General features: G+C 53.0%; 1 protein-coding gene and 1 non-coding gene across 3 annotated transcripts in view, besides 5 other annotated features; one reads left to right on the forward strand and one right to left on the reverse strand.

Annotated features, from left to right (window-relative positions):
- The window catches only part of CATSPERG (catsper channel auxiliary subunit gamma), a 35,114-nt gene that overhangs the window by 5,496 nt on the left and 4,443 nt on the right, over positions 1-25,175 (forward strand). The window contains exons 4-22 of one of the 2 annotated variants that reach the window (NM_021185.5): positions 2,255-2,399; positions 2,668-2,794; positions 2,971-3,043; positions 5,125-5,280; positions 10,936-11,107; positions 13,385-13,522; positions 15,159-15,218; positions 15,417-15,536; positions 16,953-17,003; positions 17,107-17,236; positions 18,145-18,256; positions 19,164-19,322; positions 19,406-19,518; positions 20,323-20,536; positions 20,885-20,947; positions 21,051-21,249; positions 21,389-21,507; positions 23,566-23,646; positions 23,736-23,792. In NM_021185.5, coding sequence (NP_067008.3) covers positions 2,255-2,399; positions 2,668-2,794; positions 2,971-3,043; positions 5,125-5,280; positions 10,936-11,107; positions 13,385-13,522; positions 15,159-15,218; positions 15,417-15,536; positions 16,953-17,003; positions 17,107-17,236; positions 18,145-18,256; positions 19,164-19,322; positions 19,406-19,518; positions 20,323-20,536; positions 20,885-20,947; positions 21,051-21,249; positions 21,389-21,507; positions 23,566-23,646; positions 23,736-23,792 — 2,289 coding nt within the window. The remainder of the gene's footprint in view (positions 1-2,254; positions 2,400-2,667; positions 2,795-2,970; positions 3,044-5,124; positions 5,281-10,935; positions 11,108-13,384; positions 13,523-15,158; positions 15,219-15,416; positions 15,537-16,952; positions 17,004-17,106; positions 17,237-18,144; positions 18,257-19,163; positions 19,323-19,405; positions 19,519-20,322; positions 20,537-20,884; positions 20,948-21,050; positions 21,250-21,388; positions 21,508-23,565; positions 23,647-23,735; positions 23,793-25,175) is intronic. The other variant, NM_001330496.2, reaches the window with a different exon arrangement.
- Positions 2,020-2,969: an enhancer, noted in NCBI's record as "H3K27ac-H3K4me1 hESC enhancer chr19:38833985-38834934 (GRCh37/hg19 assembly coordinates)". NCBI's record gives its function as "activates a minimal SCP1, AML or CMV promoter by ChIP-STARR-seq in naive H9 embryonic stem cells {active_cell/tissue: H9 hESC(naive)}" and the evidence as "EXISTENCE:reporter gene assay evidence [ECO:0000049][PMID:30033119]".
- On the reverse strand, positions 7,684-7,785 carry LOC124904798 (small nucleolar RNA U13). Its single transcript, XR_007067381.1, has one exon. It is a non-coding gene; the product is annotated as a small nucleolar RNA U13 (small nucleolar RNA).
- Positions 10,348-10,849: an enhancer, noted in NCBI's record as "H3K4me1 hESC enhancer chr19:38842313-38842814 (GRCh37/hg19 assembly coordinates)". NCBI's record gives its function as "activates a minimal SCP1, AML or CMV promoter by ChIP-STARR-seq in naive H9 embryonic stem cells {active_cell/tissue: H9 hESC(naive)}" and the evidence as "EXISTENCE:reporter gene assay evidence [ECO:0000049][PMID:30033119]".
- Positions 10,850-11,349: an enhancer, noted in NCBI's record as "H3K4me1 hESC enhancer chr19:38842815-38843314 (GRCh37/hg19 assembly coordinates)". NCBI's record gives its function as "activates a minimal SCP1, AML or CMV promoter by ChIP-STARR-seq in naive H9 embryonic stem cells {active_cell/tissue: H9 hESC(naive)}" and the evidence as "EXISTENCE:reporter gene assay evidence [ECO:0000049][PMID:30033119]".
- Positions 20,660-21,601: an enhancer, noted in NCBI's record as "H3K27ac-H3K4me1 hESC enhancer chr19:38852625-38853566 (GRCh37/hg19 assembly coordinates)". NCBI's record gives its function as "activates a minimal SCP1, AML or CMV promoter by ChIP-STARR-seq in primed H9 embryonic stem cells {active_cell/tissue: H9 hESC(primed)}" and the evidence as "EXISTENCE:reporter gene assay evidence [ECO:0000049][PMID:30033119]".
- Positions 21,334-21,413: a silencer, noted in NCBI's record as "silent region_10570". NCBI's record gives its function as "represses an Ori minimal core promoter by ATAC-STARR-seq in GM12878 lymphoblastoid cells {active_cell/tissue: GM12878}" and the evidence as "EXISTENCE:reporter gene assay evidence [ECO:0000049][PMID:35858748]".

Below are 25,175 nucleotides of genomic sequence, written 5' to 3' on the forward strand. Positions count from 1 at the left end.
CCAGGCAGGAGATGACGGGGACAGGACCAGGGTGTTAGTGGCTACTGTCATCCTCACAGGAAGGAGGTCCCTGCCCCACTAGCACCTTCTCCTCTGCAATGGGAACTCAGGCAGGGCCAGGGACAGGTGTAGTTGACAGGATTGAAAAGAGCCTGGTGCTGGGTGTGGTGGCTCATACCTATAATCCCAGCACTTTGGGAGGCCAGGGAGAGAAGATTGCTTGAGCCCAAGAATTCAAGACCAGCCTGGACAACATAGGGAGACCCTGTCTCTACAAAAAAAATCAAAAAATTGGGCCGGGCATAGTGGCTCATGCCTGTAATCCCAGCACTTTGGGAGGCCAGGGCAGGTGGATCACCTGAGTTCAGGAGTTCGAGACTAGCCTGACCAACATGGTGAAACCCCATCTCTACTAAAAATGCAAAAATTAGCCGGGCGTGGTGGCGCATGCCTGTAATCCCAGCTACTTGGGAGGCTGAGGCAGGACGATCGCCTGAACCTAGGAGGCAGAGGGTGCAATGAGCTGAGATGGCGCCCTTATACTCCAGCCTGGGCAACAAGTGCAAAACTCCGTCTCGGAAAAAAAATAAAAAATAAAAAAATTAGCCAGGCGTGGTAGTGGTACCTGTAGTCCCAGCTATTTGGGAGGCTGAGGTAAGAGGATTGCTGAAGTCTGGGAGAGGTGGAGGTTACAGTGAGCTGTGATGGCACCACTGCACTCCGGACTGGGCAACAGAGCAAGACCTTATCTTAAAAAAAAAAAAAAAAAGCCAGGTGCAGTGGCTTACACCTGTAATCCTAGCATTTTAGGAGGCTAAGGCTGGAGGATTGCTTGAGGCCAAGAGTTCAAGACCAACCTGGCCAACATAGCAAGACCCTGTCCCATGTAAAAAATAAATAAATAAATAAATAAATAAATAAATTACAGAAATAGCCAGCCTGGGCAACAGAGTAGACTCTGTCTCTACAAAAATTAAACAGTTTTCAAAGAAAGAATGGCCTGGTGGCTCATGCCTGTAATCCCAGCACTTTGGGAGGCCGAAGCGCGCAGATCAGTTGAGGTCAGGAGTTTGAGACCAGGCTGGCCAACGTGGTGAAACCTCATCTTTACTAAAAATACAAAAATTAGCTGGGCATGGTGGTGCACGTGTGTAGTCCCAGCTACTCAGGAGGCTGAGGCAGGAGAATCACTTGAACCCAGGAGACAGAGGCTGCAGTGAGTCGAGATCATGCCACTGCACTGTAGCCTGGGCGACAGAGTGAGACTCCTTCTTGAAAAAAAAAAAAAAAAGGAAAAGAAAGGAGCCTGGCAAAGAAAGTAAAGAAAGTCAGCCCTCTCGATGAAGGGCTGTGCACAGGTGCTGAATCTGGTAAATCCCTCGCCCTGGTCCCACAGCAACCAAGGCCTCCCCTTGGTGGCCTGAGTGCCGCCTTCTCTCGGGGACGCCTCTTAGCCTTCACTGGTGCTGTTCTGCATGCCTGAAACATCCTTCTCCTCTTCTCCCATCTCCACTCTAAGCGCTCCCCACCCTTTTCTATTCAGCCAGGATCCCGCATCCCTGGGAGGTTGTCCAGGCATGCCCTGTCACCCTCGTCCTCAGTCCCTTCCTGTGTAATCGCCCCATCCTACACTCACCCCAAGCTCAAGGCCCAGAACTTGGCTGTCCTCTGACTTGCATAGGTGGCAGAAAGTCTGCTGCAGAGAGGGTGGAAGCCCACCTCAAGAGTGAGACTGGGGGCCAGATGAGATGGCTCACGCCTTTAATGCCAGCACTTTGGGAGGCCAAGGTGGGAGGCTCACTTGAGACCAGGAGTTCAAGACCAGCCTGGGCAATCTAATTTTTTTTTTTTAAGCCTGGAACTGGGAATCCCTGGAGTGGAAAGCAGCACCCTGGGTGCCACATCCCTCCCACCTTCCCAGCATCCCTCCCACCTGCACAGTTTTGTTCATCCCATGCTGCCCTTCCCTATGTATTCCCTACATGCACATTCTGTCTGCAGACACTGGCTCTGGAGTCATCTCCTCCAGGAAGGCCTCCGACTCCCTCCACAGCCCCTTACCCCTCTGCCCCCTCCTAGGCTGTTCCATCCCCCATCCAAGCCCCAAACCTAGACCATGTCCTCTGACCATCACATGGTGGACAGTGTGCTGCCCCCGGACAGCCCAGGAGACAGACTGTTAGAGGCGGGCTTAAGGCAGGGGGCACCCAGAGGCTACCATAAGGACACACTTGTGGGGCCATCTCACCCTCAGCCCTCTGAGGACCTGGTGCGCATGGGCCACCTGACGGGGCTAAAGCCCCTGGTGCTGGTCACCTTCCAGTCCCCAGTCAACTTCTACCGCTGGAAGATAGAGCAGCTGCAGATCCAGATGGAGGCTGCCCCCTTCCGCAGCAAAGGTGGGCCTGGGGGAGGCGGGAGGGATCGCAACCTGGCAGGGGTGTGGGGTTTGCTGGGGGCCTCTGTGGGGCCATGATCTGAGGAGGGTATGTGGGGGGCGGGAGCTCAGCACATTCCATGGCCTAGAGGGGCCACACAGAGGCCCCAGTGGGACCCATGGCGTGGAGGCAGGTATGGGGAGTTGTGGGGAGATCCCAGGGTGGTCTGGGGCCTGGAACCGGCCATTGGGAGGCCCCAGCAGTTTCAGTGCCCAGGGCCTCCCTGCAGAGCCATGCATGGCAGAAGAAGTGTGTAGCATGAGCTGGTACACGCCCATGCCCATCAAGAAAGGCAGTGTGGTCATGCGTGTGGACATCAGCAGCAATGGCCTGGGGACCTTCATTCCAGATAAAAGGTACCCTTTCCCAAGACGGGGGCTGGGGTGGACTCCGGGGGAATTCCTCACCCCAGGGTCCCCAGAGGAGCCAGTGGGAGATCCAAGGGAGAGAATGGGGAGAGGAGAGGCAGCTACGAGCTGTGGAACCCCTGACACTGGGACCTCACCTGCGCCTATTCTGCACCTGCTGCTAGGTTCCAGATGAATATCAACGGCTTCCTGAAGAGAGACCGGGACAATAACATCCAATTCACTGTGGGAGAGGAGGTGAGGGAATATGGCAGGGGAAAAAGACAATGGTCTGGGCCTTAGGCTGACGCCCTGGTTACTTCCCAGACAAGCAGCAGATCCCATTTAGGGAGCACCAACTTCATGCCAGGCCCCACATGAAGATCCCATTAATCTCCCCAGTGACCTGTCGAGGGGACGTACTCTCACATACTCCATTATAAAGAGGAGAAAACTGAGGTCCCAAAGGGATGGAACCATTTTCCCATAGTCCCTCAGCATGGAGGGAGTCTTGAAGTTATCTGTCTGACTCCTATACACACCTGTACATCCATACCTGTACATACATATATAGTACATACCTGTACATACATATATAGTACATACCTGTACATACATATATAGTACATACCTGTACATACATATATAGTACATACCTGTACATACATATATAGTACATACCTGTACATACATATATAGTACATACCTGTACATACATATATATGTATATACCTGTACATGAACAGACACACACACACACACACACACACACATATATATATATATATATATTTTTTTTTTTTTTTTTTTTTTTGAGACGGGGCCTCGCTCTGTCATCCAGGCTGGAGTGCAGTGGTGCAATCATGGCTCACTGCAGACTTGACTTCCTGGGCTCAAGCAATACTCCCACCTCAGCCTCCCAAGTAGCTGGGACCACGGGCATGTACCACCATATCCAGCTAATTTTTAAATTAATTATCATTATTATTATTATTATTTTTGAGACAGAGTCTTGCTGTGTCGCCCAGGCTAGAGTGCAGTGGTACGATCTTGCCTCATTGTAACCTCCACCTCCCAGGTTCAAGCAATTCTCCTGCCTCAGCCTCCCAAGTAGCTGGGATTACAGGCACCCATCACCACGCCCTGCTAATAATTTTTTTATTTTTTGTAGAGGCAAGGCCTCACTCTGCCACCCAGGCTGGAGTGCAGGGGAACGACCTCGTCAGGCTCAGGTGATACTCTCACCTCAGTTTTTGTATTTTTAGTAGAGGCAGGGTTTTACCATGTTGCCAGGGTGGTCTCAAACTCCGGGGCTCAAGTGATCCGCCTACCTCGGTCTCCCAAAGTGCTAGGATTACAGGCGTGAGCCACTGTGCCCGGCCCATGCCCATATTCAATTTTTTTTTTTTTTGAGACAGAGTTTCGCTCTTGTTGCCCAGGCTGGAGTGCAGTGGTGCGATCTCGGCTCACCGCAACCTCTGCCTCCCGGGTACAAGCAATTCTCCTACCTCAGCCTCCTGAGTAGCTGGGATTATAGGCACGTGCCACCACACCCAGCTAATTTTTTTTTTTTTTTGTATTTTTATTAGAGATGGGGTTTCTCCATGTTGGCAGGCTGGTCTTGAACTCCCAACCAGGTGATCCACCTGCCTCAGCCTCCCAAAGTGCTGGGATTACAGGCATGAGCCACCACGCCTGGCCTCATACCCATATTCTTAATCCCGATGCATTCACCCATTCATTGATGCAGTCACTCAGCAGGCACTTACTGAGCACACGTTGTTGCATCATGGGGACACAGCAGTGAACACACAGACCCAAATCTCTGCCCTCCTGGAGCTGACACTCTAGTGGGGGAGACAGATGGCAAACCGGCAAACTGGTAATGTGAAAATCAAGTGAATTCTGTAGTAGGGTAAAGGGCGGTAAGCGCTCTGGAGAGAAATGGAACAGGGCAACGGGAGTTGGGTCTGTGCAGAAGAAGAGTGCAATATTTAATGGGATGGTCAAGAAAGGCCTCATTGAGGAGGTTAAGCTTCCAAGGAGAGAATTGCATGGATACTAAGGGAAGAGCAGTTCATCAGGAGAAACAGCATTTCATCAGGAGAAACAGAGGCCCTGAGGTGGGCATGTTCCTGGGAGGTCTGAGAAGCAGAGAAGAGGCCTTGTGGCTGGGAGAGAGGGACCGAGGGGGAGAATGGTAAGGAATGAGGTCAAGGAAGTGAGAAGGACAAATCGCGTGGGGCCTTGTGGGTCCAGGTCAGGCCTTGGACCTAAATGAGATGGAGTCTCAGGAGAGTGGGGAGAGTGTTGGCGTCCCTCCTGTCCCTCCTTGGCAGCTCTTCAACCTGATGCCCCAGTACTTTGTGGGTGTCTCATCGAGGCCCTTGTGGCACACTGTGGACCAGTCACCTGTGCTTATCCTGGGAGGCATTCCCAATGAGAAGTACGTCCTGATGACTGACACCAGCTTCAAGGACTTCTCTCTCGTGGAGGTGAACGGTGTGGGGCAGATGGTGGGCGGGGCGTCTTGGAGGGAGCTGGGCCTCAGCCCCTGAAATAAGGTAGGGGCCTGGGGCTCTAGAAGTCCCCAAAGACATATCTGTCCCCATGAGAGGCAGATAGCATGAAGAAAAAACACAAGATTCTACAGCCAGAGGGCCTAGGTTCAAACCCTGGTTCTGCCACCTCCTGGCTGCCTGACCCTGGACCTGGCAGTTCAACGACCCGGTCTTCAGATTCCCATTTGTAACATGGGAGTAATATTTATATTTACTTCATAGGATTGTTGTGAGGATGATATAAGTTAATAGTTTCTGGCCGGGTGCAGAGGCTCATGCCTATAATCCCAGCACTTTGGGAGGCTGAGGTAGGAGAATCGCTTGAGAGCAGGAGTTTGAGACCAGCCTGGACAACATAGTGAGACCCCATCTCTACCAAAAATACAAAACTTAGCCAGGGGTGGTGGCATGAGTCTGTAGTCTCAGCTGCTCAGAAGGCTGAAGCAGGAGGATTGCTTGAGCCTGGGACTTTGAGGCTGCAGTGAGCTATGATCACACCACTGCACTTCAGCCTGGGAGACAGATCGAGACCCTGTCTCAAAAACAAACAAACAAAAAAAACTGGGCGTGGTAGTGGGCGCCTGTAATCCCAGCTACTCAGGAGGCTGAGGCAGGAGAATGGCATGAAGCCGGGAGGCGGAGCTTGCAGCGAGCCAAGATTGTGCCACTGCACTCCAGCCTGGGCGACAGAGCCAGACTCCGTCTCAAAGAAAAACAAAAAAAAAAAGTTAATAGCTTCCATAACCAATGGTATATATGTGCCATTACATTCTACACTCTGGAAAATTCTGCATTGCAATATACATCTCTGCCCAAGGGTTTCCTATTAGGCATTGAGAGCCTATATTATCCCAGAATAGGGAGGGAGTGTCTGAAGTAAGGATCTTTTGGCTTCAGCGACAGAACTATGTTGGAATTAGTGCAGCTACAGGAGAACGCCAAGGCAGGTTGGTTTACCCAGAGAACTGGCTTTAAGAAGTGCACCCACAGCCGGTGCAGTGGCTCACGCCTATAATCCCAGCACTTTGGGAGACCGAGGCGGGTGGATCACCTGAGGTCAGGAGTTGCAGACCAGCCTAGGCAACATGGTGAAACCCTGTCTCTACTAGAAGTACAAAAATTAGCCAGGCATGGTGGCAGGCACCTGTAATCCCAGCTACTCTGGAGGCTGAGGCTGGAGAATCGCTTGAACCTGGGAGGCGGAAGTTGCAGTGAGCCAAGATCGTACCACTGTACTCCAGCCTGGGCGATAGAGCAAGACTCTGTCTCAAAAAAAAAAAAAAAAAGATTGCCTTAACCTCCTCCCATCAAGGTCAAAAGCCCTACTCACAATTTCTGAGGATCCCACGTGGATTAGTATTCTCCTGACCCCTTCTGGCTCTGAATTCCTGCTTATGTGGAATTTGTTCAGTTTGTGGACCATCTTCCTGTCCTGTGTCAGCTTTCTCTGTTCTGAGCCAAGTCTATTCAGACATTGTTTAATTTACACCAACTTTTTTTTTTAAGAGACAGGCTTTTGCTCTGTTGCCGAGGCTGGAGTGCACTGGTGTGATCATAGCTCACTGCAGCCTCCAACTCCTGGACTTAAACGATCCTCCTGCCTCAGCCTACCAAATAGCTGGTATTACAGGCATGCGCCACCTTACCTGGCTAATTTTAAAAAATTGTTTGTAGAGACACGGTCTCACTATGTTGCCCAGACTGGTCTTAAACTCCTGCCCTTAAGCAATCCTCCCATCTAGGCCTCCTAAAGTGCTGGGATCACCGTGCCTGGCCAATTTCCACAAACTTCGTTTTTTTTTTTTGTTTTTTTTTTTTTGAGATGGAATTTCACTCTTGTTGCCCAGGCTGGAGTGCAATGGTGTGATCTCAGCTCACTGCAACCTCCACCCCCCGGGTTCAAGTGATTCTCCTGCCTCAGCCTCCCAAGTAGCTAGGATTACAGGCATGCACCACCACACCCAGCTAATTTTGTATTTTTAGTACAGATGGGGTTTCACTATGTTGGCCAGGCTGGTCTCGAACTCCTGACCTCAAGTGATCCACCCGCCTCAGCCTCCCAAAGTGCTGGTATTACAGGTGTGAGCCATCGCACCTGGTCATAGAGAAGGTGTTTATATTCACAGGAATGAAAACAAGTTCAATGTGAATTCAGGCATCCAAATTCTTGTTCCTTATTTTTTTTAACTTGTTGAAGTGAAATCCATAAATTTAACCATTTTAAAGTGAACATCAGTGGCATCTAGTTCATTCACAATATTATGCAACCACCACCACTATCTACTTCCAAAAAATTTCCATCACTCCAAAATAAACCCTGGGTTTGTTTTTATTTCATGTCAGACAGGTAATGGGCCGACACCATAACAAGGCTTGAGGGAGACACATCTCAGATGACGGTGAAAACCCAATCGCCACACGTAGAAACTACAAGAAGATCCTATGATCCTGTTTTAGTTCTTTTTCTTTTTTTTCTTTTTGTCATGGTCTCACTTTCTTACCCAGGCTGGAGTTCAGTGATGCAATCTTGGCTCACTGCAGCCTCCATCTCCTGGGTTCAAGCCATCCTCCTACCTGAGCCTCCCTAGTAGCTGGGACTACAGGCGCATATCACCATGCCTGGCTAATTTTTGTATTTTTGGTAAAGATGGGGTTTTGCCATGTTGCCCAGCTTGGTCTTGAACTCCTGACCTCAAGCCATCCTCCTGCGTTGGCCTCCCAAAGTGCTGTGATTACAGGCATGAGCCACCGTGCCCAGCCTTGTTCTTGTTCTCTAACCAAGGAGATTTCTCCCTGATGGCCTCATCTGTTTGTCTCCTCTCTTCCCTGCTCCTGTCTCTCTCCACCACTCCCTTCCACACTGCCCCCAGGAAACGAATCCTCCCCTGGCTCATGGTTGGGGTCCAGGTATAGATGCTGTAACAAAGAGACCCTGGAAGGGAATTACTTAAACAGAGACTGTTGCTCATTGTTTTTTTTTGTTTGTTTGTTTGTTTGTTTGTTTGTTTTTTGAGACAGAGTCTCGCTCTGTTGCCCAGGCTGGAGTGCAGTGGCATAATCTTGGCTTACTGCAACCTCTGCCTCCCAGGTTCAAGTGATTCTTCTGCCTCAGCCTCCCGAGGAGCTGGGATTACAGCCACCCACCACCACACCTGGCTGATTTTTGTATTTTTAGTAGAGATGGGGTTTTGCCATGTTGGCCAGGCTGGTCCCGAACTCCTGACCTCAAATGATCTGCCCGCCTTGGCCTCCCAAAGTGTTGGGATTACAGGTGTGAGCCACCGCACCCGGCCGTTGCTCATTCTCGTAACAGTCTGGAGATGAGGAACCTTGTTCCTTCCATTTTCTCTCTTCACCATCCCCTGGGCTCAAGGTGTTGGCCTCTGTATGATGGCAGCCACTGGGAAAGGGGAGGAGCAGAAGTAGAGGGCAAGCCATTTTCTTTTAAGCAAACTTCACTTCCACTGACATTCCACTAGTGAGAAGGGGTCACCTGGCTACATCCAACTGCAAGGGACACTGGGTGGTACATGCCCAGCTAAACTCAATCACCAAAAAATATGGGGAAATGGATTTGAGAGCTTTACTAGCCATCTCCTAAAAGTGGAGAAGAAAATTTATTGGTTCACGAGACCAGATTTCAAACAGTATCACTGAGACGGGGTTTCTCGCCTCATCTCTTGGACCACATTCCTCTGTTTTTTGTTTGTTTGCTTGCTTTTTGAGACGGAGTTTCGCTCTTGTCACCCAGGCTGGAGTGCAGTGGTGCAATCTTGGCTCATTACAACTTTTGCCTCCTGGGTTCAAGCGATTCTCTTGCCTCAGCCTCCCAAGTAGTTGGGATTACAGGCACGTGTCACCACGTCCAGCCAATATTTTGTATTTTTAGTAGAGATGGGATTTCACCATGTTAGCCAGGCTGGTTTTGAACTCCTGGCCTCAAGCAATCCACCTGTCTAAGCCTCCAAAGTGCTAGGATTACAGGCACTCGGCCACATTCCTCTGTATTGACTTGATGCTCAAAACAGTCCTGTTGGCTGGGTGTGGTGGCTCAGGCCTGTAATCCCAACATTTTGGGAAGCCAAGGTGAGCAGATCACTTGAGCCTACGAGTTCGAGACCAGCCTGGCCAACATGGTGAAACCCCGTCTCTACTAAAAATACAAAAATTAGCCAGGCATGGTGGTGGGCACCTGTAATCCGAGCTACTCGGGAGGCTGAGGCAAGATAATCGCTGGAACCCGGGAGGCAGAGGTTGCAGTCAGCCAGGATTGTGCCACTGCACTCCAACCTGGGTGACAGAGTGAGATCCTATCTCAAAAAACAAACAAACAAAAAATGGTCCTGTTTTCTGGAACTGAAGACTACAGAGGCTGCATCTTCTCAAGCCCACATTCAGTGGGAAAGATCTTTCCCAAGAATCACCACATCCCCAAAGTCACAAGATTCCTTCCACTTGGTACAGCTCAGGTCCCTACCACCCCAACAAAGCCAACACAATCACCATGCCCAACATGATGCCTAGTGAATTAAATGAGTCAGAACTTTCCAATGAGGCTGAGGCGGGAGGACTGCTTGAAGCCAGGAGTTCAAGACCAGGGCAATGTAGCAAGACTCCCGTCTACACAGTTATTTATTTATTTTAATTAGCTGGGAGGCCGGGTGCGGTGGCTTACGCCTGTAATCCCAGCACTTTGGGAGGCCGAGGTGGGCGGATCACGAGGTCAGGAGATCGAGACCATCCTGGCTAACATGGTGAAACCCTGTCTCTACTAAAAATACAAAAAATTAGCCAGGCTTGGTGGTAGGTGCCTGTAGTCCCAGCTACTCGGGAAGCTGAGGCAGGAGAATGGCGTGAACCCGGGAGGCGGAGCTTGCAGTGAGCCAAGATCACGCCACTGCACTCCAGCCTGGGTGACAGAGCAAGACTCCGCCTCAAAAAAAAAAAAAAATTAGCTGGGAATGGTGGCAAGCACCTGTAGTTCCAGCTACTCGGGAGGCTGAGGCGGGAGGATTGCTTGAGCACAGGAGTTCAAGACCAGCCTGGGTAACATAGCGAGACCTCACCTCTACAAAAATAAAAATTAAAAAATTAGCTAGGCATGGTGGTGAGCACCTCTCTTGCCAGCTACTCGGGAGACTGAGGTGGGAGGATCGTTCGAGCCCAGGAGTTTGAAGCTGCAGTGAGCTATGATCATACCACTCCAGCCTGGGTGACAGAGCCAGATCCAGCCTTTAAAAAAAATGTCCCTTGGGGCGAGCATGGGGTGTTGTATCCATGTAGGTATAACACTGACTGTAGCCAAGGGCACAAGGACCGCTAAGGACCGTTGAGCATGCTGTGCACTGCCCAACTCCAGGGGGCACACGAAGCCTGAACTGGCTCAGGCCTGGGTCACCTGCTTCTCTGGTCCATATGGGGGAGGTTTGGCTACCAAGGTGCTGCTGCGGGGTGAGCAGGGAGAGCGCCCTGGGGCAGCTACATGTGTCCCTCCCAAGCAGCTGTCAGAGCAGGAGCTTCCCCGCAAGGCAGGACATGGGGGCTGAGGCCAAGGCCACCTGCTCACCACTAGCCTCTGCTCCCCTGCAGCTGAGCATTGACAGTTGCTGGGTGGGCTCCTTCTACTGCCCCCATTCTGGCTTCACAGCCACCATCTATGACACTATTGCCACCGAGAGCACCCTCTTCATTCGGCAGAACCAGCTGGTCTACTATTTTACAGGCACCTATACCACACTCTATGAGAGAAACCGCGGCAGTGGTGAGTGTGCTGTGGCTGGACCCACGCCTGGGGAGGGCACCCTGGTGAACCCCTCCACTGAAGGTGGCTGGGGGCTGGAATTGCTGTGGGTGAGGCATTGGGGAAGGAACTTGCCAAGGCCCCAAATCACCCTTGCCCACCCCGAATGGGCCTTGCCTTGCCCTTTTTTTTTTTTTTTTTTTTTTTTGCTGGGATGAGGCTTCCACCCAGACCCTCCTGGGAATTGTGAGCAGCTGTGAGAAGAGGGGGTGCGAGAGTAAAGGGAGGTAGAGAGAGGCAGACCCACGCGTGTGCCCACACACAGTGGCAGAAGGACTTGCCAAGACAGACCAGACGGGGAGAGAAAGTCAGAGGGAGAGGGGCATGGCAAATCAGAAAGACAGAGCGGGAGGAGAGAGAGAAACAGATGGGCAAAGCCTCAAGGGAAACTCATTGGAGAGGAAAAAAGAGAGTCTAGGCACAGTGGCTCAGGAGGCCAGACTATTCAAGAGGCTGACGGGAGGGGGCATCGCATGAGCCCAGGGGTTTGAGGCTGCAGTGAGCTATGATCACACCACTGCACTCCAGCCTGGGCGACAGAGCAAGACCCTGTTTCAAAAAAAAAAAAAAAAAAAAAAAAAGCTGGGCATGGTGGCTCATGCCTGTAATCCTAGCACTTTGGGAGGCCGAGGCGGGTGGATCACTTGAGGTCAGGAGTTCAAGGCCAGCCTGACCAACCTGGTGAAACCCCATCTCTGCTAAAAATACAAAAATTAGCCGGGCATTGTGGTGGGCACCTGTTATTCCAGCTACTCAGGAGGCTGAGAAAGGAGAATTGCTTGAACCCAGGAAGCAGAGCTTGCAGTGAGCTGAGTTCACGTCACTGCACTCCAGCCTGGCCAACAGAGCGAGACTCAGTTTAAAAAAAAGAGAGAGGAAAAAGCGAGAGAGATGAAAAAGAGAGACTATTCAACTTAATCTTTAAATGATACCGTGGCTGGGTGCAGTAGCTCACACCTGTAATCCCAGCACTTTGGGAGGCTGAGGCAGGTAGATCACATGGTCAGGAGTTCGAGACCAGCCTGGCTAACATGGTGAAACCCCGTCTCTACTAAAAATACAGAAAATTAGCAAAATTAGCTGGGCGTGGTGGCACATGCCTGTAGTCCCAGCTACTCGGGAGGCTGAGGCAGGAGAATCGCTTGAACCCGGGAGGCGGAGCTTGCAGTGAGCTGAGATCGTGCCACTGCACTCCAGCCTGGGCGACAGAGCGAGATGCCATCTCAAAAAAAAAAAAAAAAAAGAAAAAGGCCAGGCGCGGTGGCTCACGCCTGTAATCCCAGCGCTTTGGGAGGGCGGATCACGAGGTCAGGAGTTTGAGACCAGCCTGGCCAATATGGTGAAACCCCGTCTCTACTAAAAATACAAAAATTAGCTGGGTGTGGTGGCATGTGCCTGTACTCCCAGCTTCTCAGGAGGCTGAGGCAGAAGAATTGCTTGAACCCAGGAGGCGGGGCTGCAGTGAGCCAAGATCGTGCCACTGCACTCCAGCCTGGGCGACAGAGTAAGACTCTGTCTCAAAAAAAAAAAAAAAAAAAAAAAAAAAAGATACCAAAGCTCTCTTATTTCTTCCAGTTTCTCCCGCCATCTCAGTGAGAACTGTCAGCTTACAGAGTCACTGGAAATTGGACTGTAACTTACATTTCATAAGTGAATGCGTGTTCCCAGCAGCTTTGCTTAGTCTCTTTCTTACTTTGGGCATTTTGACAGTGGGAGGAACCAAATTCAAATTGGCTTAATCCAAAGAAAAGTGGTGTTTATTGGCTTCCGTGGCTGAAAAGCCCAGGAGCATGTTGGTTTCAGGAAAGGCTGCACCATGGGGTCACTGTCACGGTTAGACAGTCACCTCCTTGTGCATGCCACGGTGATTCAGGCCTCTACGCAGCAACTGTAGACTTTTATGCCCCTCAGTAGCCCCAGAAAAGAGCATCTTGTTGCGGATTGCAAGCTGATATTGCCTCTGATTTGGCCGGCTTGGTCACATGCTAATCATTGTGGCCTAGGGAGTGCAAGGGAGGTGTCAGCCCAATCTGACCCTCATGGACAGAGTGTGAGCAAGGAGGATTTTCTCAAAGGCAGCGGGTGCCCTCTGCCAGGTGCTCCCTGACACCACACTGAACGGGTGCTTCAGCATGAGAGGACAGATAACAGGCTCACTAAAGCCAGGGAAATGTGGGCAGGGGGCAGAGGCCCCAGATCCAACCACCTGGGTCTGAGGCCCCATACTGACTTCACTAGGCAGTTGGATTCGTGTCCTGGCCAGCGAGTGCATCAAGAAGCTGTGCCCTGTGTATTTCCATAGCAATGGCTCTGAGTACATAATGGCCCTCACCACGGGCAAGCATGAGGGTTATGTACACTTCGGGACCATCAGAGGTAAGGGTGTGGGCCTCTGTCAGCCCCAGGGACCCCTCCATACCCTCTCTCACCTCCGAGAATTCTAACCTTGGGCCCTCACTCATTACCATGTGCCCTGAGGAGGGCCCCTAGGCTGAGGGTGATGGTGGTGGTGGAGGGATGCGTTTGTAGGGGTAGGGCTTGGGGGTATGTTATGTATCTTTCATGATGTACTTGGTTTTAAAGGGCAGAAGAGCTGGGCACAGTGGCTCATGCCTGTAATCCCAGCACTTTGGGAGGCTGAGGCAGGCGGATCACTTGAGGTCAGGAGTTCAAGAACATCCTGGCCAACATGGTGAAACCCCATCTCTACTAAAAATAAAAAAATTAGTTGGGCGTGGTGGCAGGCGCCTGTAATCCCAGCTATTCAGGAGGCTGAGGCAGGAGAGTCACTTGAACCCAGGAGATGAAGGTTGCAGTGAGCCGAGATTGCACCACTGCACTCCAGCCTGGGCAACAGAGTGAGACTCTGTCTCAAAAACGAACAAACAAATCCCCCAAAAAAACAAAAATAGCAGAAGCCCAATTCAAAAATAATTGAAGTACAGCTGGGCACAGTGGCTCATGCCTGTAATCCCAGCACTTTGGGAGGCTGAGGTGGGTGGATCACCTGAGGTCAGGAGTTCGAGACCAGCCTGGCCAACATGGCGAAACCCCATCTCTACTAAAAGTACAAAAATCAGCTGAGCATGGTGGCATGCACCTGTAGTCCCAGCTACTTGGGAGGCTGAGGCATGAGAATTGCTCGAACCTGGGAAGCGGAGGTTGCAGTAAGCCAAGATCATGCCACTGCACTCCAGCCTGGGCAACAGAGTGAGACTGTCTTAATAATAATGATAGTAATAATAATAATAACTTAAGCACAAAGAATTTGTGGACTTACATAAATGAAAAGACTACGGTTCAACTTCAGGTATGGCTGGATCCAGGGGCCCACAGGGTAGGTCATCAGGACTCCATCTCTTGGTAAGGTAGTGCAGCATAGTAATTAATTATAGCACAGATTCTGGAGAGAGACTGCTCCATCACACCTTCGCTGTGTGCCTCTCGATATGTAACTTGACCTCTCTGATCTCGTTTTCTTCACCTACAAAATGTGGCTAATGGTAGTACTAGCATCTAGGTCACCGGGTTGATATAAAGATTAAATAAGTTGGTTTTTGTAAAGGTCTTAGTGCTAGTGATGTGGTGAGTGTTACAAACAGTTTATTATTATTGGTCCTATAATTTGGGTCCATTTTTAGGTAGCTATTCCTCCATGGAGGTTAAAGGTGGCCCCTTAAAGCTTCAGACTCAAGTCACCTACTAGTCTGAGTCACGCCAAGAGAATGAAGACAGCATCTTTCCCATTAATTCTAACACAAATCCCAGAGTAAACTCTGATCGGCCCACCGTGGGTCACATGGCCAGACCTGAGGCATGAGACCCACAGTCTCATGACTGTGACCAAAGACAGACATGCTCTGATAGGCCAGGTGTGAGTGACGAAAGGCCAGAGAATGAGATCCCAAGGACGGAGGGGCTGGTGGGCATAAGGAGGGCAATCGGAGTTGGCTTGATGGGCTGCCAGACAGGAGGGAGAGGGCCTGAACATGAACCCGACCTTGCTCTGCAGATGGCCAGGTGTCCTTTGAGATGCTGCCCAGGCAGTGGTCTGTGTGCGAGCAGATAGGAGGTACTCATTACCCCGATGGGTCTGCGGTGGGAGGCTGGGGGAACTGAGGATGCAGAAGAGCAGGGGAGGGTGGCAGGGGTCATGGGAAAGAATGGGCAGTGTCTTAGGGAGGGGTGAGTTATGGGGAGGGGTACAGCTGGCACAGGACCAAGGCTATTGAGCCCTGGGGCGGCTCTGGACTGCCCCTTTCCCTCTCAGTTACCACCTGCTCCATAATTTGGTCTGAATACATCGCGGGTGAGTATACTCTACTGCTGCTGGTGGAGAGTGGATATGGTAATGCAAGTAAACGTTTCCAGGTGGTCAGCTACAACACAGGTAATGAGGGTGATGCAAGGGGCTGGGCACAAAGGGGCAGGATCCCAGACTGTGGACTGCATGCCCATCCTGAGGGATCTGTGCCCAGCAGACAGAGGGAGGGCAACATTACCTGTGTCACTCCTGGTTGAGGAGTAGCAGTGGAGAACAGGATATAGGCTTGGTGATCTGAAAGGGCCCTGTGGCTCACAATAAAGAGATTTTATTTTACCTGCAGTGAGAATAGGGCCCCTATGTAGATTTGTGCAGGCTGTGCAGTGCACAAAACCCCCAACCGAGGGGTCAGAGGAGACAGGTCCTGTGCCTTAACAGGACTGTTTCCTCTCAGGCAGTGCCTTTTTATAATTCACATGAAGAAATTCTAAAGGGCTAGGCAAGGGGCTCACACCTGTAATCCCAGCACTTTGGGAGGCCAAGGCCAGAGGATCCCTTGAGGCCAGGAGTTCAAGACCAGCCTGGGGCAACATGGCAAGAGGCTGTCTCTACAAATTAAAAAAAAAAAAAAAAAAAAAGTAGCTGAGTATGGAGTCGCACCTGTAGTCCCAGCTACTTGGAATATACCTGAGGTGGGAGGATAGCATAAGCCCAGGAGGTTGAGGCTACAGTGAGCTATGATCATGCTACTACCTGGGTGACAGAGCAAGACCCGGTCTCAAAAAAAAAAAAAGAGCAGAGCCAGGCGTGGTGGCTCGTGCTTATAATCCTGGCACTTTGGGACACCAAGGTGGGTGGAATGCTTGAGCTCAGGCGTTCAAGACCAGCCTAGGCAATATAGCGAAACCTCATCTCTACTAAAAATACAAAAATTGGCCGGGCACGGCGGCTCACGCCTGTAATCCCAGCACTCTGGGAGGCCGAGGCGGGGGGATCACCTAAGGTCAGGAGTTCAAGACCAGCCTGACTAACATGGTGAAACCCTGTCTCTACTAAAAATACAAAAATTAGTCGGGCATGATGGTGGGTACCTATAAACCCAGCAACTCAGGAGGCTGAGGTGGAAGAATCACTTGAACCTGGGAGGCAGAGGTTGCAGTGAGCTGAGATCATGCCATTGCACTGCAGCCTGGGCAACAGAGCGAGACTCCATCTCGAAAAAAAAAAAAATTAGCTGGGCATGGTGGTGGTGTGCGCCTATAATCCCAGCTACTCCATAGGCTGAGGTGGGAGGATCACTTGAACCGAGGAGGCAGAAGTTGCAGTGAGCTGAGATCACACCACTGCACTCCAGCCTGGGCGACAGGGAGATCCTGTCTCAGGGGGGAAATAAAAGAAAAGAAACTCTAAGGACTAGCAAACCCGAGTGGGAAGCTCTTTGGAGGGTTTTACAGGAGGCTGAGAAGCAAACAACTTGCTCCAGCTCCAGGTTTTGAAAGTGCAGGGCCTCAGGAGATTTTGCTGTGTTCTCCCCACCTGTAGCTAGTGATGACCTGGAACTTCTCTACCACATCCCAGAATTCATCCCTGAAGGTAGGAAGGGAAGGCAGACGTGGCCTCAGGGTGGCTGTGGGCCAGGAGGGGCCCAGGTGACTCCACTTCACTGCTGTGTCCTCTCTTCCTCTGCTCCGGTCAGCTCGAGGATTGGAGTTCCTGATGATCCTAGGGACAGAGTCCTACACCAGCACTGCAATGGCCCCCAAGGGCATCTTCTGTAACCCGTACAACAATCTGATCTTCATCTGGGGCAACTTCCTCCTGCAGAGGTGGGCCTCTACCACCCCTGGGTGGGCCAGGCATACTCTGTCTCCCCAGCAACTTTACGGTGGGGACCCTTTCAAGCCCAGGCTAGGCAAGTCTCACCAAGCCTTCAAAGGATGCACAAATCCAGAAGTTACCAGGACTGTGATGAGGAACACACCGTTAGGGTAGTCAGTGCTGGGATGGGGGAAGCCAATGTTTTAAAGCTGTGGGAGCCCTTTTCTTAAAATGAAACCTTATATAAAGACCCAGCCTGTGTGAGCAATAGATGAGCAGTTTCTAGGGTTTTTTTTTGTTTTTGTTTTTGTTTTGGGACAGAGTCTCACTCTGTCACCCAGGCTACAGGACAGTGGCAAAATCTCGGCTCACTGCAGCCCCCGCCTCCCAGATTCAAGCGATTCTCCTGCATCAGACTCCCGAGTAGCTGGGATTACAGCTGCATGCCACCATGCCTGGCTAATTTTTGTATTTTTAGTAGAGACGCGGTTTCACCATGTTGGGCAGGCTGGTCTCAAACTCTTGACCTCAGGTGATCCTCCTGCCTCAGCCTCCGAGAGTGCTGGGATTACAGGTGTGAACCACCATGCCCGGCTAATTGACAAACATTTTCTAGGGACAGTTTAGGATCCTCCCCACCCCAGCCACCCTCTCGACCCTCAGGAACCTAGGGGCCCCTGAGCCACCTTCTTGGGTGGCTGGCAAACTGCCAGGTTGGCCCAATGCTCCTGTTTTACAGATGGGGAGCTGAAGATTCTCAAAGGGTTTGGGGTGGGGGGCGGGAGCTAGGATTTCAAGCTTCCTTTGCATGTTCTTACAAGTGGAGAAACAGTAAGTGGCTCCCGTGTTATTAGGCCTGGGATTGGGGGAAGCGGCTGTCCAGCATGCGCCTAGCTCTCCATCTCTGTCCCTGCAGCTCTAACAAGGAAAACTTCATCTACCTGGCAGACTTCCCCAAGGAACTGTCCATCAAATACATGGCCAGATCGTTCCGTGGGGCTGTGGCTATTGTCACAGAGACGGAGGAGGTGGGCTGCCCCGCCCCTCTCCCCGTTCCCTCTCTGCCCACCCCCAAACCCCAGGGGCCCCTCTTTCCCCCGTCACAGTAAAGGAGCCAAGGGAAGGGGGCACCCTCGGGGACCCTGAGAAAGGGCAGTGAAGCTCCATTTATAACTGAAACTCCTGGAACTCAGGGTAAGTGTCAGCTCCAAAGTCACGCAGACCGGAGCTATGATCCGATGTTCAGAGGCGGCCCTCTTTCATCCCACAGTGTGGTCGTTCACTTCATAAATATTGAGCATTTACTGTGTGCCTGCCCCCGTGCTGGAGAACACAGAGTGATCAGGGCTGCAATGGGGAAAATATTACCTATGGAAGCAGGGGGACCTGGCCCCGTCTGGGGGCTTGTGCATGTCAGGGAGGGCTTCATGGGGGAGACCACATGGAGGGGGACATCTTGGAGGCTGGAGGGGATCCCCCAGGTTGTGGCTCAGGAAGGGGAGTGAAGGTTCCCTTCAGATGTGTATGGGGGTGGGCATCAGTGCAGAGATGGGAAACTGAGGCCAGGGAAATGGTGAGACCCTGGAAGCTGCAAAGAGTGAGAAGAAAAGAGGTCTCGGCTCTAGGAACCGTGGCTGTTAGGGAGTGTGTGTGTTAGAGATGCTTAGGTCGCAAGTGCCAGAAACCCAAACAGACCGAAAACATTGAAAAAAGTGATCATAGTGTGTGAGGGCTGGAACCAGAGGTGATTGGGCTCAGGGAAGTAGAGCCGTGGCACCACAGAGAAAAGGAAGGGGAGCGCCCTTGGTCCCAGTGGAGGTGAGTTTCCAAACTTCATCCCTCAAACAATGGGGCCACCACACTGGGCAGAGGGTGAGGTGGGATCAGAGGACCCCATGGTCCTGACACACACACATCCGGCTGTCATACCCGCAGATCTGGTACCTCCTGGAGGGCAGCTACCGGGTCTACCAGCTGTTCCCTTCCAAGGGCTGGCAGGTGCACATCAGCTTAAAGCTGATGCAACAGTCCTCTCTCTACGCATCCAATGAGACCATGCTGACCCTCTTCTACGAAGACAGCAAACTGTACCAGGTGCCCGGTGGAGCTATGCGGGGACATCGGGGCACCCCAGGAGGGCTGACCCCAGCTCACCTGGCCCTGCCTTCCCCCTGCAGCTGGTGTACCTTATGAACAACCAGAAGGGCCAGCTGGTCAAGAGGCTCGTGCCCGTGGAGCAGCTTCTGATGTATCAACAGCACACCAGCCACTATGACTTGGAGCGGAAAGGGTGAGAAGACACCGGACCATGACAGGGGTCTGAGGGCTCCCGGCACTGCCCTCCTGAAGCTACCATTCTTGAGAGAGGGGAGACCGAGCTAACCCCAGTGAAAACCTCAGGGCTATGATGGCAGGAGTTCAGCACTTATGGAAGCTCAGAGGAGGAGCCCAACCTAGTGGGGGGAAGGTGCATCAGGGAGGGCTTCAAGGAGGAGGAGGTGTATGCACTGTGGCAAGAAGGGTGAGGAAGGATTAGCCAAGTGATAAGGTGGGGAAGGGTGTTCCAGAAAGGGGGAACCACCTGTGCAGAGGCCCTGATGGGAGGGGGACAAAGTGAGCCTGGTGGTCATGGGGAGAAACTTGGGCTTCATCTTGAGGGTCTTGGGAGAGCCATGGATGGGACTAAGGGAAAGGACTGCAGGATCGGATTTTACCGCGTGCCGTAATGATGCCTCCGGTCATCGTCCTGCGGAGGGTGGATCAGAGCAACCCAGGGAGGCAGCTGGAGTCGGGACAGGGAAGGGGCGCTGGGGTGGAAGGAGGAAGCAGGAGATGGAATAAAGATAAGAGGTCAAGTGGACAGGCAGATGGCGACTGCCCGTTGAGTAGGGAGGACTCTGGTCTCAGGGATCAAGGGAGGGACGTCCGAGGGGATGTGTGCAGAGGCCTCTGGGCAGCAGGGGCTGACGCTGAGGAGGAAGATTCGGGCTGGATTCGATACGGGAAGTGGGTGGGGTGGGAAAGAGGCCTGCGGAAGCTTCCAGTGCGCGGGGTGCCTTAGAGCCAGCAGCCTTTCCCCCTTGCCACTGCCCAGGGGCTACTTGATGCTCTCCTTCATCGACTTCTGCCCCTTCTCGGTGATGCGCCTGCGGAGCCTGCCCAGTCCGCAGAGATACACGCGCCAGGAGCGCTACCGGGCGCGGCCGCCGCGCGTCCTGGAGCGCTCGGGCTTCCACAACGAGAACTCGCTCGCCATCTACCAGGGCCTGGTCTACTACCTGCTGTGGCTGCACTCCGTGTACGACAAGGTGGGCGTCCGGCGGCGGGCGGGCAGGCCTGAGACGGGACTGGGGCAGCCGGGAGCTGGCTTAGAGGGCGAGGCCTGTGGAGCGGAGCGCAGCGGGATTGGAGAACAGGACTGGTGGTGGGTGGGCGGGGGACCTGGGGGCGGGGCCTGGCTTGAGCAGGACTTCCAGGGGAAGGCGTTGGGGGTGTGGCCGGGTTGAAAGCAGGGTTTGGGGATGGGCTGGGGTGTGTATCTTCTGCTCTGGGTTGGGGGCTGGCTTTGAGGCTAGGAGGTGGTCTGGGGATGCCGCTTGCCTGGAGGCTCTCGCCCCGCTGCCCAATCCCTTCACGGTGCCGGGCGATCCCTGCAGCCGTACGCGGACCCGGTGCACGACCCCACCTGGCGCTGGTGGGCGAACAACAAACAAGACCAGGTAGGCGGAGCGGATTGGGAGCCGGGAAAGGGGCGGCGCCCGGACACCCCTCACCGTGCCCCACCCCCGGCGCTGACTCTGCCCCGCGCATCCGGTACCCCAGGATTACTACTTCTTCTTGGCGAGCAATTGGCGAAGCGCGGGCGGCGTGTCCATAGAAATGGACAGCTACGAAAAGATCTACAACCTCGAGTCCGCGTACGAGCTGCCGGAGCGCATTTTCCTGGACAAGGGCACTGAGTACAGCTTCGCCATCTTCCTGTCGGCGCAGGGCCACTCGTTCCGGACGCAGTCAGAACTCGGTCTGCGCGGGACCAGAGTGGAGCCCGAAGGGCGGGGCGAGGGCTACCAGAATCTGGGAGCCTGGGGGGCGGGGACACCATCGGAGGGGCGGGGCCTGTCTGTGAGGGAGGCCTTAACCCCGTTTACTGCCCGGAGCAGGCACCGCCTTCCAGCTGCATAGCCAGGTGGACGTGGGCGTGGTGCTGGCCGACCCCGGCTGCATCGAGGCCTCGGTGAAGCAGGAGGTCCTGATTAATCGCAACTCGGTGCTATTTTCGGTGAGGCCCCCCGGGGAGTTGGGATCAAGGGAGGTTTTGTTTTTTTTTTTTTTTTTTTTTTTTGGAGACAGGGTCTTGCTCTGTCGCTCAGGCTGGAGTGCCAGTGGAGCGATCACTGCATTCTTGGCCTCCTGGGCTCAAGCGATCCTCCTCCCTCAACCTCCTGAGTAGCTGGGACTGCAGGCACGCACCACAGTGCCCAGTGAACTTTTTGTTTTTCTTTTGAGACGGAGTCTTGCTCAGTCGCCCAGGCTGGAGTGCAATGGCACGATCTCGGCTCACTGTAACCTCTGCCTCCCAGATTCAACCGAGTCTCCTGCCTCAGCCTCCCTAGTAGCTGAGATTACAGGTGCATGCCACTACACCCAGCTAATTTTTTGTATTATTAGTAGCGATGGGGTTTTACCATGTTGGCCAGGCTAGTCTTGAACTCCTGACCTCAAATAATCTGCCCACTTTGGCCTCCCAAAGTGCTGGGATTACAAGCGTGAGCCACTGCACCCAGCCTTAACTTTTTATTTTTTGTAGAGACGGGGGTCTCCCTATGTTGCCCAGGCTGGCCTCGAATTCCTGGACTCAAGAGATCCTCATGCCTCGGCGTGAGGTGTGAGGTGTGAGGCATGAACCACCCTGTGCTTGGCCCCGTTAGCCTATTCCTTTTTTTTTTTTTTTTTTTTATTGATCATTCTTGGGTGTTTCTAGGACAATAGTGGAGGGAAGGTCAGCAGATAAACAAGTGAACAAAGGTCTCTGGTTTTCCTAGGCAGAGGACCCTGGGGCCTTCCGCAGTGTTTGTGTCCCTGGGTACTTGAGATTAGGGAGTGGTGATGACTCTTAACGAGCATGCTGCCTTCAAGCATCTGTTTAACAAAGCACATCTTGCACCGCCCTTAATCCATTTAACCCTGAGTGGACACAGCACATGTTTCAGAGAGCACAGGGTTGGGGGTAAGGTCACAGATCAACAGGATCCCAAGGCAGAAGAATTTTTCCCAGTACAAAACAAAATGAAAAGTCTCCCATGTCTACTTCTTTCTACACAGACACGGCAACCATCCGATTTCTCAATCTTTTCCCCACCCTTCCCCGCTTTCCACTCCACAAAACCGCCATTGTCATCATGGCCCGTTCTCAATGAGCTGTTGGGCATACCTCCCAGACGGGGTGGTGGCCGGGCAGAGGGGCTCCCCACTTCCCAGCAGGGGCGGCCGGGCAGAGGTGCCCCTCACCTCCCGGACGGGGCAGCTGGCCGGGCGGGGGGCTGACCCCCCCACCTCCCTCCCGGACGGGGCGGCTGGCCTGGCGGGGGCTGACCCCCACCTCCCTCCAGGACGGGGTGGCTGCCGGGCGGAGACGCTCCTCACTTCCCAGACAGGGTGGCTGCCGGGCGGAGGGGCTCCTCATTTCTCAGACGGGGCGGTTGCCAGGCGGAGGGTCTCCTCACTTCTCAGACAGGGCGGCTGGGCAGAGACGCTCCTCACCTCCCAGATGGGGTCGCGACCGGACAGAGGCGCTCCTCACATCCCAGACGGGGCAGCGGGGCAGAGGCACTCCCCACATCTCAGACGATGGGCGGCCGGGCAGAGACGCTCCTCACTTTCCAGAGTGGGCAGCCAGGCAGAGGGGCTCCTCACGTCCCAGACGATGGGCAGCCAGGCAGAGACACTCCTCACTTCCCAGACGGGGTGGCGGCCGGGCAGAGGCTGCACTCTTGGCACTTTGGGAGGCCAAGGCAGGCGGCTGGGAGGCGGAGGTTGTAGCAAGCCGAGATCACGCCACTGCACTCCAGCCTGGACACCATTGAGCACTGAGTGAACCAGACTCCGTCTGCAATCCCGGCACCTCGGGAGGCCGAGGCTGGCGGATCACTCGCGGTTAGGAGCTGGAGACCAGCCCGGCCAACACCCCGTTAGCCTATTCCTGAGTAGAAAATGGCAGCCTTCCGTTTTCCTACCAGCCACCACCTCGCCCCAGCTATGGGTTATTTGAACTGTTTGTTGGACTTTGGGGAGACCTGTTCACCCCTTCATTTCTGCCTCTCCCCTCCTTCAACCCCAGATTACGCTCAAGGATAAAAAGCTTTGCTATGACCAAGGCATTAGTGGACATCACCTTATGGAGACTTCCATGACGGTCAATGTGAGGTCCAAGCCTGGAGGGGAGGGTGCAGGATGGTGGGAAAGCCTGGGCCGGCGGGGATCACCATCTTCACCTGCTCCTACCCACAGGTGGTGGGTTCATCCGGGCTCTGCTTCCAGGAAACACACCTGGGGCCCCATATGCAAGTATTGGAGCTTGGGATACTGGGCCCTGGGAGGGGAAGGTTGGGGTCGGGTCTCAACAGGGCTAATCCCCCTGAGAATCCCACTAATGCATTCATAATTTCCTTTCTTCTCATTCTTTCTCAACATTCATCCACCCACCCACTACCACCCACTAACTCCTTTCATTCTTTTTTCTTTAAGACGGAGTTTCACTCTTGTTGCCCAGGCTGGAGTGCGGCGGCGCGGTCTTGGCTCACTTTGCCTCCTTGGCTCAAGTGATTCTCCTGCCTCAGCCTCCCAAGTAGCTGGGATTATAGGCGCCCGCCACCACGGCTGGCTAATTTTTTGTATTTTTAGTGGAGACAGAGTTTTTCCATGTTGGCCAGGATGGTCACAAACTCCTAAACTCAAATGATCCACCCGCCTCAGCCTCCCAAAGTGCTGGGATTCCAGGTGTGAGCCACCATGCCCGGCCTAACTCCTTTCATTCATTCACGTTTTCAGAAAGGGCCACCTTCCCAGTTGTGCAGGTTGCACACAAACTGGTATGTTCCCTCTGATAACTTTTCTTCAGAGGGAGAATAGAGTGAGCAACAGGGCCGTTTTTTTTTTGTTTTTTGTTTTTTTTTTAACGATGTCTCACTCTTGTCCCCCAGGCTGGAGTGCAATGGTGCAATCTCGGCTCACTGCAACCTCCACCTCCCGGGTTCAAGCGATTCTCCTGCCTCAGCCTCCCAAGTAGCTGGGATTACAGTTGCATACCACCATGCCTAGCTAATTTTTTATATTTTAAATAGAGACGGAGTTTCACCATGTTGGCCAGGCTGGTCTTGAACTCCTAACCTCAGGTGATCTGCCGGCCTTGGCCTCCCAAAGTGCTGGGATTACAGGTGTGAGCCACCGTGCCCGACCTAGGGCCACTTTTTGCAATTGGCACAAAGGTGGCATAAGGGCTGGCCTGGCCCTGCTTTCACATCTCTCTCTTCTTCTGCCCACTCACACATTCCTCATTCAGTTCTTTGGGTGCTTGGTGCTTCACTTGCTTATACACGTGATATCGCCTTTGCCCGGGGCAGACACTGAGGCTCAGAGAGGTGCAGAGTAACCCAGGGAGCTAATAAGTGGTAGAGGAGGGGCGTGCCCCAGAGTTCTTGTTCTCACCCATTTCCCTACCCACTCCCTGGCATGCAGATCCTGGTGTTCCTCCCTCCTGGCTTAGAATGACCTTGGGCAGTCAAAAGGGGTTGTAACAGCCCCCACCTCCTTAGAGTACATGAGATTTCATGTGCTAGACTGAATAAACAAGGAGGAAGTGTGATTGCATCAGGGTGGGCAAGGGGGAACGTGGTGGGATGAGCTCGGAGCAGTGATGGGGCAGAGTAAGCGGAGCCCTTATGGGCCATG

Source organism: Homo sapiens, chromosome 19, assembly GCF_000001405.40.
Source record: "Homo sapiens chromosome 19, GRCh38.p14 Primary Assembly".
Lineage (NCBI taxonomy): Eukaryota > Metazoa > Chordata > Mammalia > Primates > Hominidae > Homo > Homo sapiens.